This window comes from Homo sapiens, chromosome 22, assembly GCF_000001405.40.
Source record: "Homo sapiens chromosome 22, GRCh38.p14 Primary Assembly".
NCBI lineage: Eukaryota > Metazoa > Chordata > Mammalia > Primates > Hominidae > Homo > Homo sapiens.
In genome coordinates, this window is record NC_000022.11 from 19,289,360 (window position 1) to 19,301,917 (window position 12,558).

A 12,558-nucleotide genomic window follows, 5' to 3' on the forward strand; every position below is an offset into this window, starting at 1 on the left:
TTTTAGAAGGTTAAAAAATGTAAGAATATGGGACAGAGACAGAATGTGGCCCTTACAAAAAAGCCTGCAGGATGGCTTGTAACCTTGGCAAAAACAGATTCAGGGGAAAAAATGGGGACAAAAGCCAGACTGCAGGTTACTGTGGAACATAAAAATAATGAAGCACTAAAGCAGCTCTTTCATGACATCCAGCTATGAGACAAGAGCTTCGTGGGGACAAGAGCGGGGGAAGAAGTTTGCTGGTTGTACAGATGGAAGAGAGGTGAGCATTGCCCAACACAAACAGGAAGAAACAACAAGACAGAAGGATGAAAATACAGGAAAGGGAGGCTATGACTGAACGAGGCTCCCTTATAGGGAAGAAGGATACCAGATCCAGAACATAGACAAGAAAGGACACCTACTTTTGAGGTAACAGGAAGGCAGGAAAGGGTGGCTGCAGACAAACATCTAAGTCTGCAGCCATATAGGTGAGAAACATCCCAGTTATGGCTTCAGTTTTCTCCAAGTCATCTGCTGGTTGCAAGGCAGGAGTGGCAGGATCAGGGATTTAAGGAACAGGCTGAAGTCTCGAAATGTCTGTAGTGAAGGCAGTGTGTGCTGACTCAGTGTTTGCTCTACAGAATGCACAGCAGCCTCAAAGACCCAGTCAGTGTTAGAGACCACAAACCAGACTTGCATTCACGTGGCTGCCCACCACAAGCCACAAGCATTTTCCAGATAATGGAACATATCAACTCTGATGGACATTACAAATCCTGATGGACATTAGAAACTCTGATGGACACCTAAAATATCTTGTTGCTTTCTTGCCCTTTGAAAAGAACATATTTAGATAGTGGTTAAGCACAGGCATTGGAATCAGACCTGGGTTAGAACTCAAGCTTTGTCACTTACTAGCCATGTAACTTTTGCTGAAGGAATTAGAATATTAACCTCAGTGACCCATGGTAGAAAACAGGATATCACTATCTGCCTCAGTTATCATGAGGATTAAATTAAACCAGATTTATAAAATACAGTAGTCTAGTGAGTGGCAAGAGAAACGGCTCAGTAAATGATAACTACATCATCATCATTATTATGAGCAGCAGCAGTATTTTGCTACCTCAACATGACTGGTGCTGGCTTAGCTTAGTGGCAGAATGAAGCCCGGACAGATGTCAGGGCACTCCCACCTCCATACAACTTCCACTGTGTCACTAACCAAGTGACCCTGGCAGGATCCCCTGGATATCAAGTTTCCAGTCTGCAGAATGAGGGGACTGGACTGCACTACACAGTTCCCAAGGCTTTTCCCGTCTGCATCTAGGGCTAACAGTGCTCTGCACTGTGAAAATAGGAACTTTCAAGCAAGCACGTTCCTCGATGTACTACTTTGTGGTCAAAAAGACTTGAGTCTGAATCCTGTTCTTATTGAATGAAGATGAGTTCTTTAACACTTTTGAGACTCGGTTTCCTCATCTAGAAAAGAGTAAGCGAATCGCAACGAATGGTAGTGTGATGATTTAACACAGAGCACTCAGGGAGGAGCCGCTGGCTATCCCTCCTCTGCCGCACCTCCCAGGGTAAACGTGGGGACCAGCACCGCTCCCGGGCAGACCCGCGAGCGGCCCGCACGACGCCCGACCTGAGCCTTTGCTCAAAGCAGGGGGCCAGTCCTTATGTTTCTGAACACAAACAAATGGAGAACAAACTGGGACCTTATTAAAAAGGCAGGCTTTGGGGGTGTTACTGCATTGAAAAGCCCTATTTAGGCTTGGCCCTGAGAAATTTTTCTCTTGGGTCACGCATGTTCACGGTCCTCCCAGGCGAAGCCGCCCTGGGGACGAAAACCGATCACAGAGGCAAACTCAGGGGCGAATAAGGACCGCAGGACGCCAAGGAGGGGCGTGGAGCTGTGGGATCCGCGCGGCCCTTGGGTTGCCCTGCCTGCAGCGGGAATTTGTGTGCCTCCTCGCGGGCACTGAGCGGGGCGTCCCAGGGGGCGTTGGCTTCCACCCCCACCATTCCCCAGCCGGCCCCGCCGGTAACGGGCTTCGGCGACGGCACCCAAGCGGGTCCTCAGGAGCGGCCGCCGCGCCCGGGACGCCGCAGCCCCAGCCCAGGTGGGAGGTCGGAAATCGGCGCGGCCAGCTGGGCAGCGGCTCAGCGGGGCTGGGGGCGCGGGGTCAAGCCTGGCAGTCCGGCCCGGCGGAGGCGCGGCTGACAGGGCAGCCCCCCAGCCCGCCGGGCCTCACCTGGAAGTGCTCCTGAAAGCGAACAGGGAGGATCTGCGCCATGGCTGGTGCGGGACCTCGGCGGCGGCGGCGGCAGCGGCAGGAATGAACGCCGACCCCTCGCGCGGGCTGACCGGTGGCGACGGCGCAGGCGCAGTGCCCCGAGCTCCCGGTCCTGGCCCCCGCCCTCCTCCCTGACCGCGCCCCGGCCCGCACCCCCTTTCCCCGCCCCTTCCCCCGCCCCTGCCCCGCCCCTGCCCCGCCTCTGCCCCGCCCCTGCCCCCGCCCCTGCCCCCGCCCCTGCCCCCGCCTCTGCCCCGTCCCGCCTGCGCGGATCCCTCCGCCCGCTCCGAGGGTCCGCGGAAAGTAGTCCCGCGCGCCCTCTGCCCTGACGCGGTGTGTGCCAGCTACCCGAGTGAAAGGTTTTCGGGGGATTAATCCTGATGGGGTCTGCGGCGGCCCTTGCCCAGCGCCTTCCACATGTGGAGCGGGCCAGTGGTGCTAGTTCTGCCGCCAACTCTGGACGGTTGAGTTCAGGGCCACTTTTTACTCAGGCACGGATGTGACAGAAAGATGGAAAAGGGTCTTGGAAGAACCACATGTGCCGTATAACGAACGACCTTTTGGTCTGAGGAGGACCGTGTATATGACGGTGGTCCCATAACATGATAACGGAGCTGGAAACTTCCTGTCCTCTGGTGAGGGCTTAGCTAAGGACATTTCCTCTCCTGTATTTGGAGATACACGTACAGGTATGTCATTACCGTGCCAGGGGAATAACGCACCTCACACGCGGTGCGGGTTTGCGGCCTAGCAGCAGCGGACCGCATCAGCTGCCTAGTTGTGTAGTGGCTGTGCCATCTGAGTTTGTGTAAGTTACCTTGTGATGATCCCACAACCGAGACGCATGTCTCAGAATGCATGGATGCATGGGACGCGTGACTGTACGTGTTACAGACGTGTTTCGGCGTGAGGCTCGGCCCCTGCTCCTTTAGGAAACACCTTTCCTGGCTCATGCGGTTTCTAGAGAACACTGTGTCGGAATATCAATGTAGAGAGTCAGCGAAGGTCATCTAGCAGCAGATGACCAGCCCCAGGCCAGTGAGGATCACCCAGAGTGCCCGTGGCTGCACGACAGTAGTAGCAGGTGGAAGCTGGAGCCCACACCTGGTTTGCCCAGCAGCCAGTTGTTTTTCCGAGGCACCGTTGGCTGATGTTTTGCATACAGATGATTCAGCTGCATAAAAGATGTCTGTCAGGAAAGGGAAGCCCTTGGCATTCAGCACAGGCACTCCCTACGGGGTAATCGATAGCCGTCTCTGCTGCTTCCCATGTTGCTCACTGGTAATTTTAAGAAATGAACGGCCCACCTTGAATAAGACAAGGATGGTGCAATTATTTGCGCAATGGCTTGACCATCTAGTAGCCAAAAATATGTTAAGGAATAGAACAGACTGTTCACTTTCAAATTAAATCTCTTTTCCAGTATTAGCCAAGACCTCTGCAGCCCGCCCTTTCTAAAATCCATGTGGCCTCATCCGCTAAATATAGAGCTGGGTTTTGCTGTGGTTAGTACTACATTTCCCAAATCTCTTTATTTTGGCAATGATGCCTGTGACTCCAAGTACCCTTTACCCCAAACATTATATAAATTTTTTAGTAATTAATACCATCACTCCCTAAATCACCTTCCCCAGGGCTTTTTGGGGATTAAAACTAAAATTTTATACCCTAAAAGAAAGAATTTAAGAAAATCATAGTTAAGCAAAGTGACAGGATTGTTAATACGTCGGGACCTCAAGTGGGGATTAAGTTTCAACATTAATTTTAGAGGAGACACAAATCTTTCTGTCTCTTCAAACCATAGAAGAGACAGAAAGCACAACAGTTATTTGAATAGACAGAAGTGAATATAAGTGATAGTTGTAGTTAACAGGAAATAAAGTTGTTAATATACTTGTAAAAAAATTAAATGTTCTGACTTGAAAGGGACTTTAATATTCTCACCACTTGTAGGTAACTTGCTAAGTAACCCTAAAAAAACCTTTCAATTCTTTTTTTTTTTTTTTTTTTTTTGAGACAAGAGTCTCGCTCTGTCGCCCAGGCTGGTGTGCAGTGGCACGATCTCTGCTCACTGCAACCTCTGCCTCTCAGGTTCCAGCCATTCTCCTGCCTCAGCCTCCCAAGTAGCTGGGACTACAGGCGCACGCCACCGCACCTGGCTAATTTTTCATTTTTAGTAGAGACAGGGTCTCACCATGTTGACCAGGCTGGTCTCAAACTCCTGGCCTCAGGTGATCCATCCACCTCGGCCTTCCAAAGTGCTGGGATTACAGGTGTGAGCCACCGCGCCTGGCCCGGGATTAAGTTTCAACATTAATTTTGAAGGGGACACAAACCTTCAAACCACAGAAGAGAGAGAAAGTGCATCAGTTATTTAAACAAAGGGAACTGAATATAAACAATAGTTAACAGGAAGTAAATTTAAAATAATAAAAAGAAAATCCCAAGATATGGAGTTACAAACATAGGACACAGCTACCACCCCTAGAGCTCAAAGATGAAAGAGAAGCTGGAATTATTACAGCTTAAAGGAAGGGCTTGCAGAGCTGGAATTCAGATCTCTGAGGAGGTGTGTTGACCAGCTGGGGCTGGGGTCATTGAGCCCAGAGGAGAGATCCCATGGGGATGGGACTCAGACCTCTGAGGAGGGTCCCTACGGGACTTAGACACACACTATGGATGAGGGGTGGCTGTGGAGCTGGGAGTAAGCCCTCTAAAGAGGGCACTGGGAGACTCTCACCCAGATCTCTAAGGAGAAGGCATACTGAGGCTGGTTCTGCAAGTCTTGGAAAAACTTAAACTGGATTCAGCTTCTGTGGGAAGAATGTGCTGCTGCCTTGTTGAAGAAGCCTAGCTGGGGTGATGCTCACAGGAAGTGGCCCTGTGGTCTCCCTCTATCAACCTATCAGCTTAGTCTAATAGGGAATATTAGATCAGATCTTCTTTATTTGCCAATGAGAAATATGTTTTTTAGAGTCTCAGCCCTGGCATCAGAAGCAGTGTCTAGAGGTGGGAAGGGAGAATAGAGCTGAAAGACATTATTTAATAACTGGTACAAGAAACGACATGTTATAGCTAAATTCCAATTCCCATGGGACTTTCCTATAGGTGGAATTGAAAAGTCTGTGGAGGCGTATAATCGCAGCGCTTTGGGAGGCTGAGGTAGGAGGATTGCTTGAGCCCAGGAGTTCAAGACCAGCCTGGTCAACCCCATCTCTTCAAAAAAATTTAAAAATTAACAGGGCATGGTGATGCATGTCTATAGGCCTAGTTGGGAGGCTGCAACAGGAGGATCACTTGAGCCCATGAGCTCAAGGTTACAGTAAGCTATGATCGTACCACTATACTCCAGCCTGGGCAACAGAGAAAGACCCTGTCTTTAAAAAAGAAAAAGTCACTGGAGGACTTTAGTTTTCAGACAGCTTCAGAGAACTAAAAAGGCAGTGAATAATTATGAGGCCAATATCAGAGAGAAAGGACATGAGAGAGGTGAGTGGTTTATGGCTGCTTTTTCTTGAAAGGCATCTGCCAATTCCAGATGAATGTTTGAGACACTAGGACTCTGAGCAGCACTTTTAACACTCTCATTGCCCTAGGACGACAAAATTTGGAGGCTTGGTACCACCAAGGAGGTATCCCACTGTACTGTTTTGGGACCACAAGTTGTTTGGGACTCCATTCAAATCATGTCAGTCCTTGCCAGCAGCAAATGTAAATCTTCCCTGGGAATGATAACCTCATCCATGGTCTCAAATTACTTCTACAATTGTTCATATGCAGTGTTCAACACTGAATCAAAAATAAGTAGGCATCCAAGGAGAAAAGACAAAATGGTTGCAAAAAACAAGAGCAAGCCTGGACAACATAGTGACACCCTGTTTCTAAAAAACTAATAATAATAATAATTAGCTGAGCATGCACCTCCAGAGTCTGAGGCAGGAGGATGGCTTGAGCCCAGGAGGTCAAGGCTGCAGTGAGCCAAGATCACACTGCTGCACTCTAGCCTCGGTGATAGAATGAGGCCCTGTATCTGAAACAAAAACAAGAACAGTAACAGACAAGTGAGCTCTAGGGGATCAAAAAATGGAGTTTTCACAAAGACTTTTAAATAATTATGCTTAATATGGTTAAGAGGATAAAAGACAAGGTTAAGAATTTTATCACAAGCCTGTAAATTATAAAGAACCAAATGGAAATTCTAGAACTGAAATTGTGAAAATTCACCAGATAGTGTTAGCATATTACACACCTCTGAAAAGAGAAAGCTAGTGATGGTAGAGTTAAGTCAGAAGAGTATATCTAAATTAAAGCACAGAGATAAAAGGACAGAAAATAAAGCATATGAATAAATTAGATATAGAGGATACATGTAGAGGTCTAACATACAGGTAACTGAAGTCCTAGAAGTATAGAGAAAGAGACAGAAGCAATATCTAAAGAGATAATGGCTTAGGGTTTGAAAATTAATGAAGGATATCAATCTTCAGTTTCCAGAAACATTACAGATTTTAATTGGAATGTGTAAATTAAGGCAAAATACACTTAGGCATATCATAATGAAATAGCTCAAAACTAGGGAAAAAAAACTTAAAAGAAGCCAGAGGGAAAACAATGGATTACTTTCTAGGGAGAGATAATTAAGCTTAACTACTGACTTCTCAAACAATGAAGCAGAATAATCGTATCTTCAAAGTGGTCAAATAAAATAATGAGGTTGAAACTGGAAAAGTTCCCTTGTCCCCCTTGCAGGGCATGCGATGGGGGTGTAGCGCGCTTCTTCAGTGCCCCACTGCTCAAACCTCGAGGGGAGCGTATGGACGGACAGGCTGTAGGGCTCCAACCCCACAACAGTGTCTAGGAGTGAATATTTACAGCTCCTGAAGCCCCAGTGGGCGTGTGTTACAGGGTGATCTTTTAGTTTTGCCGTCTATAGGCGACTTGTGTTAACCAGCTCAATTAGTGCCTCTACTTGTCGCATGGACAGAGGGCTTTCTGTATCCCGGGTTCTCGCCTTGGTGTACCAGAAGAATCAGATCACATCTGAGCTTGGAGAATGGGTGCAAGGTTTTATTGAGTGGAAGTAGCTCTTAGCAGAAGCTGAAAGGGAAGTCAGAAGGGGATGGAGTGGGAAGGATTTTCCCTGGAATTGCACTGCTCACCAGCCCTGGGCTCTCCTCCAACTGCCCCAGCCAAACTCCACGTTGTTCAGCTTCACCAGCATGCTGGTTCCTGTCAGTGCCTTCCTCTGGATGTCCAGCTACCTGTGTGTCGCTCCCCTCCCCTCAACGTCCAGCCACCTGTGTGTCTGCCAGCTAGGGTCTCTGGGGTTTTTATAGGCACAGGATGGGGGCACGGCAGGCCAGGGTGGTCTTGAGAAATACAACATTTGGGCAGAAAATGCCTGTCCTCACCTAGGTCCGTGGGGGGTGGAGCCCTAGCCAGGGGCCACGCCCTCCTCTACCCAGCGCTTCCCTTCCCCTTTTCCATAGCATTTAAAGGGACCACATCCTTCTCTACCCAGCACTTCCATGTCAACATTAGGCTGGGCGTGGTGACTAACGCCTATAATCCCAGCACTCTGGGAGGCCAAGGTGGGCAGATCACTTGAGGTCAGGAGTTCGAGACCAGCCTGGCCAACATGGCGAAACCCCATCTGTGCTAAAACCCCGTCTCTACTAAAAATACAAAAATTACCTGGGCATGGTGGCGCATGCCTGTAGCCCCAGCTACTCAGGAGGCTGAGGCAGGAGAATTGCTTGAACCCGGGAGGCGGAGGTTGCAGTGAGCTGAGATGGCACTACTTCACTCCAGCCTGGGCAACACAGAGTGAGACTCTGTCTCAAAAAAGAAAAGGGAAGGGAAAGGAAGGGAGAAAGGAAGGGAGGGAGGGAAGAAGGGAAAGGAAAGGAAGAAGAGAAGAAGGGAATGGAAGGGAAAATAAAGAAAATAATGACATTGGCAGACAAACAAGATCTGAGAAAATTTGTTACCAAAAGATCTAAACTAAAGGAAATACTAATGGGTTTTTATCAGGTCAAAATAAAATGTTCTCAAGTGGAAGCTCAGAGATATAGAATGGATAAAATTCAACAAAAAGTATATATTGGTAAATCTAAATGAAAGTTAACTGCATGACACAAAAATAATAAAGCCTTCTGGGATTAAAAATATGTCAGAATTTAGGCCGGGCGCGGTGGCTCAGGCCTGTAATCCCAGCACTTTGGGAGGCCGAGGCCGGTGGATCACGAGGTCAGGAGATCGAGACCATCCTGGCTAACATGGTGAAACCCCGTCTCTACTAAAAATACAAAAAATTAGCCGGGCGTGGTGGCAGGCGCCTGTAGTCCCAGCTACTCGGGAGGCTGAGGCAGGAGAATGGCGTGAACCCCAGAGGCAGAGCTTGCAGTGAGCCAAGATCGTGCCACTGCACTTTAGTCTGGGCAACAGAGTGAAACTCTGTCTCAAAAAAAAAAAAAAAGTCAGAATTTAAATATATAAAATCTATAGTAAGTCAGAACTGGGGTAATCCAGGCATCATCTGAGAAAGGGGTATAAAAAAGGTTAGATTTGTAGTTGATTGAATAATTGGTCCCAAGTCTTAAGGCCTTGTAAGAGTTCTATTCCTCTGCACTCTTGCCATGGCTTTGTAGTGGATTGAGGGTGCTTCTTCACCCCTTGGTTCCAGGTTTCACCCTGTGCCTTGCTTCAGCTCATTGGATGTTAGAAGTGTGATATGAGCAGAAATTTAACTGTCCCACATTGTTTGGATTGCACTCTTGCACTTCTGTTGTGTCCGTGAGTACAATTTGTCCCCCCTAGCCATTGCCTTTTGAGCTTGGAGCTCAGGATGGCATGTATAAAGTAGATCTCAGCCCAGTCTGCATCTTGGATGCAAGATTAGCTAAGATTGGCCAAACTCCAACTGAACCACTGACCTGTGAGTGAGAAAAAATAAGTAAATGAGATTATAAACTACAGAGATGTTGAGGTTGTTTGTTATGTGAAAATAAGAAATTCAAAATCAAAGTGGTTGGAACTTTAAATTATTTTGAACCTTAAAGAAATGTGGTTATGAGGCCCAAGTCATACAACAGGCAGCTGTAACCTAGGCAGCTGTAACCTTTGTTCCTCTAATTATGGATTAGCTTTTTCTTTACCTACATTGTTTTATAAAATGTTGTAAAAGACTAAAGGATGCCAGAGAAGACCCTTTCTCTCTTAACTGTTGATCTTCATTATAGATTAGCTTCCTTCTTTCTTCTCTTACACAATGACCTCACAACTATCACATTGTCTAAAATAAAATGTTAAATATTCTCTTATACTCCTTTAAATTGGGAAAGAAAACAAGCTATAACTAATAAAGTTGCAGTAACTCATAAACTACCCTTGTATGAAAAATGTAATTCTGTTAAATTTCTTTGTTTGCTGCCTATATAAGTAAGACCATAACCTTTCAGCTTGGGATCACTGACCCCATTCCTTTGGGGTCTGTATTTCCGGATATTCATCCTCAACTTTGTGCTTGCATAAACTCTTAAACTGGATTCTGATGCTTTAAATTATTTCAGGTTGACATACTAGTGACCCAGATGGGACCTGAAGTTAGCTTCTGCCACTGACTCCTGCTGTTTTGCTAACAGATAGGTGGTACCAGTACAGACTGTTGCTGGAGTTTATGGGAGCCCTAAGTGAGACCCCTCTTGCATTTTGAATCTCCCTGGCTTAGATGAGATTCGTATATTGTTCAAATGACCTGATTCCATACTCAATGGGGCTGGAATTAAAGTTCTACTTTAAATCTTTAAGGTAGGAGTTTCATTTCTTATCTCTCGAGAGATTCTGTTGTTTGCAGGTTTACGGTTTCATTCTTTTTTAAGGTTAAGGTTTTGTTTGCCTTACTTGCTAAAGTTTGCAACCTTTTCTCTCATGCAAAATCTGGTTAAAGGAAAAGCAGTTTCCCTTTAATAAGATATGAATTTCTGTGGCTTAAGCAAAATTGTGACCTTAAACTAGCCAGGTTTTGAAGCTCAGTTCAATTTGGCACATTTAAATTCTTTTTTTGAGTGACCAAAAATTTATAAAAGACCTTTATTGGCTGGGCACAGTGGCTCACTCCTGTAATCTTAGCACTTTGGGAGGCCGACGCTGGAGGATCACTTGAGACCAGGAGTTCGAGACCAGCATGGGCAACATAGTGAGACCCTGTCTCTGCAAAAAAATAAAATAAATAAAAATAAAAAAAAAATAATTAATTAAAAAAAAATCTTTATGAGAATGTGATAAGTCCTGAAGGCAACGTACACTGTTCATCCTGACCAAAAGGCACCTTAGGTGACTGAGGTCTTGTAGGAGTGCCAGAGATTATCACTTGTGATGAGAAATGGTCACACAGGGGATCCCCAAAGAAGAACATACAGGGAAATTTGCTTAAATTCAGTAAATATATATAAGGTACTGATGTCCCAGTGCCTTAAGCTCCCAGAATTTCTGGGTTTCACTGAGACACATAAGAGGAAAGAACTGATCCAAGGGTAACACACGGGGGAGCTATTCCCATAAATAATACATTTGATCCAAAACATCTTTCCCTTTCACTTAAGAGGAGAATACAAATTATAGGCGATCAGCTATCTAAAATAGAGTCCTCCTTGTGGAGAGGTCCATCTTTAGAGACTCCAGCTGGATACCTGTACAGTACTTACGGTTTTACTTCTTGTCATTATTTAGAAAAATTGTCTCTTGAAGAACTCACGAAGAACCAAAATTGCAATGGCCAAAGTAGGGTACTTTGAAATGCCTAAACTAAATTATTTGTGTGCTCAATTAGAAAAATCCGGTTCTGGCCGGGCACCGTGGCTCACGCCTGTAATCCCAGCACTTTGGGAGGCCGAGGCGGGCGGATCACCTGAGGTCAGGAGTTCGGGACCAGCATAACCAACATGCAGAAACCCCATCTCTACTAAAAATAAAAAAAAATTAGCCGGGTGCGGTGGCACATGCCTTTATTCCCAGCTACTCAGGAGGCTGAGGCAGGAGAATCGCTTGAACCCAGGAGGCGGAGCTTGCGGTGAGCTGAGATTAGGCGTCATTGCACTCCAGCCTGGGCAACAACAGCGAAACTCCGTCTCAAAAAAAAGAAAATAAAAAAGAAAAAGAAAAATCGGGTTCTAGGATAAAATAGAATAATTGGGAGATTTATTTTTAGAGGTATTTAGAAGCATCCAGAAGAGGTTCTGATAAAGTTACTTCACTGCAGGAGGAAAATAAAAGATTGCCTAAAGGCTGGGCACGGTGGCTCACGCCTGTAATCCCAGCACTTTGGGAGGCCGAGGCAGGCGGATCACAAGGTCAGGAGATCAAGACCATCCTGGCTAACACGGTGAAACCCCCATCTCTACTAAAAAAATACAAAAAAAAAAAAAAAAAAATTAGCTGGACGTGGTGGCAGGCGCCTGTAGTCCCAGCTACTCGGGAGGCTGAGGCAGGAGAATGGCGTGAACATCGGAGGAGGAGCTTGCAGTGAGCCGAGATCGCACCACTGCACTCCAGCCTGGGCGACAGAGCAAGACTCCATCTCAAAAAAAAAAACCAAACAAACAAAAGGTAGTCAACTGGCATAAAATATAACCATATATACAAAATCCAGAGTCAGTTATGTTATACTTTGAAAGATGTAAAAAGACTTTTAGACAATATTCAGGCTTATGTGAGGTGAGTGATGCTAATCATAAAAATGATACTTTCCTGGGCTGGGTGCCGTGGCTCACACCTGTAATGCCAGCACTTTGGGAGGCCGAGGTGGGTGGATCACCTGAGGTCAGGAGTTCGAGACCAGCCTGACCAATATGGTAAAACCTCGTCTCTACTAAAAATACAAAAATTAGCCAGGCGTGGTGGCATGCACCTGTAATCCCAGCTACTTGGGAGGCTGAGGCAGAAGAATCACTTGAACCCAGGAGGTGGAGGTTGCAGTGAGCCAAGTTGCGCCATTGCCTCCACCCTAGGCGACAGAGGGAGACTCTATCTCAAAAAAAGAAAAAGAAAAGATACTTTCCTCAACTCCAACTTTATGAATGTTCTAGATAAAGAATTCACTCTAATAGTAAAGAGACAGTGCCTTAGTTGGGCCACTTCTCAAACCCATGATTTGATTAATCTTGCTGACGGGTCGTTGTGTACTTTAAAGAAGAAAAAGATAAAGAGGCCATACCAAAGAATAAAGTGAGTAAAGTTATGAATTTGCAACTAAAACAAGTATCCACCAAGTGTAGAC

The 12,558-nt window shown here is 46.2% G+C and overlaps 1 protein-coding gene and 1 long non-coding RNA gene across 22 annotated transcripts in view, besides 6 other annotated features; one reads left to right on the forward strand and one right to left on the reverse strand.

The window, feature by feature from the left end:
* Nucleotides 1-2,360, reverse strand: part of CLTCL1 (clathrin heavy chain like 1) — a 112,247-nt gene extending 109,887 nt beyond the window's left edge. For all 19 annotated transcript variants that reach the window (XM_047441517.1, XM_047441515.1, XM_017028954.3 and 16 more), the window contains exon 1: nt 2,241-2,360. In XM_047441517.1, coding sequence (XP_047297473.1) covers nt 2,241-2,282 — 42 coding nt within the window. In that variant the 5' untranslated portion in view covers nt 2,283-2,360. The remainder of the gene's footprint in view (nt 1-2,240) is intronic.
* Nucleotides 1,549-2,062: an enhancer, noted in NCBI's record as "H3K4me1 hESC enhancer chr22:19278431-19278944 (GRCh37/hg19 assembly coordinates)". NCBI's record gives its function as "activates a minimal SCP1, AML or CMV promoter by ChIP-STARR-seq in naive H9 embryonic stem cells {active_cell/tissue: H9 hESC(naive)}" and the evidence as "EXISTENCE:reporter gene assay evidence [ECO:0000049][PMID:30033119]".
* Nucleotides 2,173-2,357: a silencer, noted in NCBI's record as "fragment chr22:19279055-19279239 (GRCh37/hg19 assembly coordinates)". NCBI's record gives its function as "represses an EF-1alpha promoter that drives an FKBP-Casp9 reporter gene in an ReSE screen in phorbol 12-myristate 13-acetate-treated (for megakaryocytic differentiation) K562 erythroleukemia cells {active_cell/tissue: K562(+PMA)}" and the evidence as "EXISTENCE:reporter gene assay evidence [ECO:0000049][PMID:32094911]".
* Nucleotides 2,173-2,478: a biological region, named in NCBI's record as "ReSE screen-validated silencer GRCh37_chr22:19279055-19279239".
* Nucleotides 2,239-2,478: a silencer, noted in NCBI's record as "silent region_13458". NCBI's record gives its function as "represses an Ori minimal core promoter by ATAC-STARR-seq in GM12878 lymphoblastoid cells {active_cell/tissue: GM12878}" and the evidence as "EXISTENCE:reporter gene assay evidence [ECO:0000049][PMID:35858748]".
* The window catches only part of LOC105372859 (uncharacterized), a 59,606-nt gene continuing 49,635 nt past the window's right edge, over nt 2,588-12,558 (forward strand). For all 3 annotated transcript variants that reach the window (XR_938002.3, XR_938000.3, XR_938001.3), the window contains exon 1: nt 2,588-2,971. This is a non-coding gene — a long non-coding RNA (uncharacterized LOC105372859). The remainder of the gene's footprint in view (nt 2,972-12,558) is intronic.
* Nucleotides 7,197-7,698: an enhancer, noted in NCBI's record as "H3K4me1 hESC enhancer chr22:19284079-19284580 (GRCh37/hg19 assembly coordinates)". NCBI's record gives its function as "activates a minimal SCP1, AML or CMV promoter by ChIP-STARR-seq in primed H9 embryonic stem cells {active_cell/tissue: H9 hESC(primed)}" and the evidence as "EXISTENCE:reporter gene assay evidence [ECO:0000049][PMID:30033119]".
* Nucleotides 7,699-8,198: an enhancer, noted in NCBI's record as "H3K4me1 hESC enhancer chr22:19284581-19285080 (GRCh37/hg19 assembly coordinates)". NCBI's record gives its function as "activates a minimal SCP1, AML or CMV promoter by ChIP-STARR-seq in primed H9 embryonic stem cells {active_cell/tissue: H9 hESC(primed)}" and the evidence as "EXISTENCE:reporter gene assay evidence [ECO:0000049][PMID:30033119]".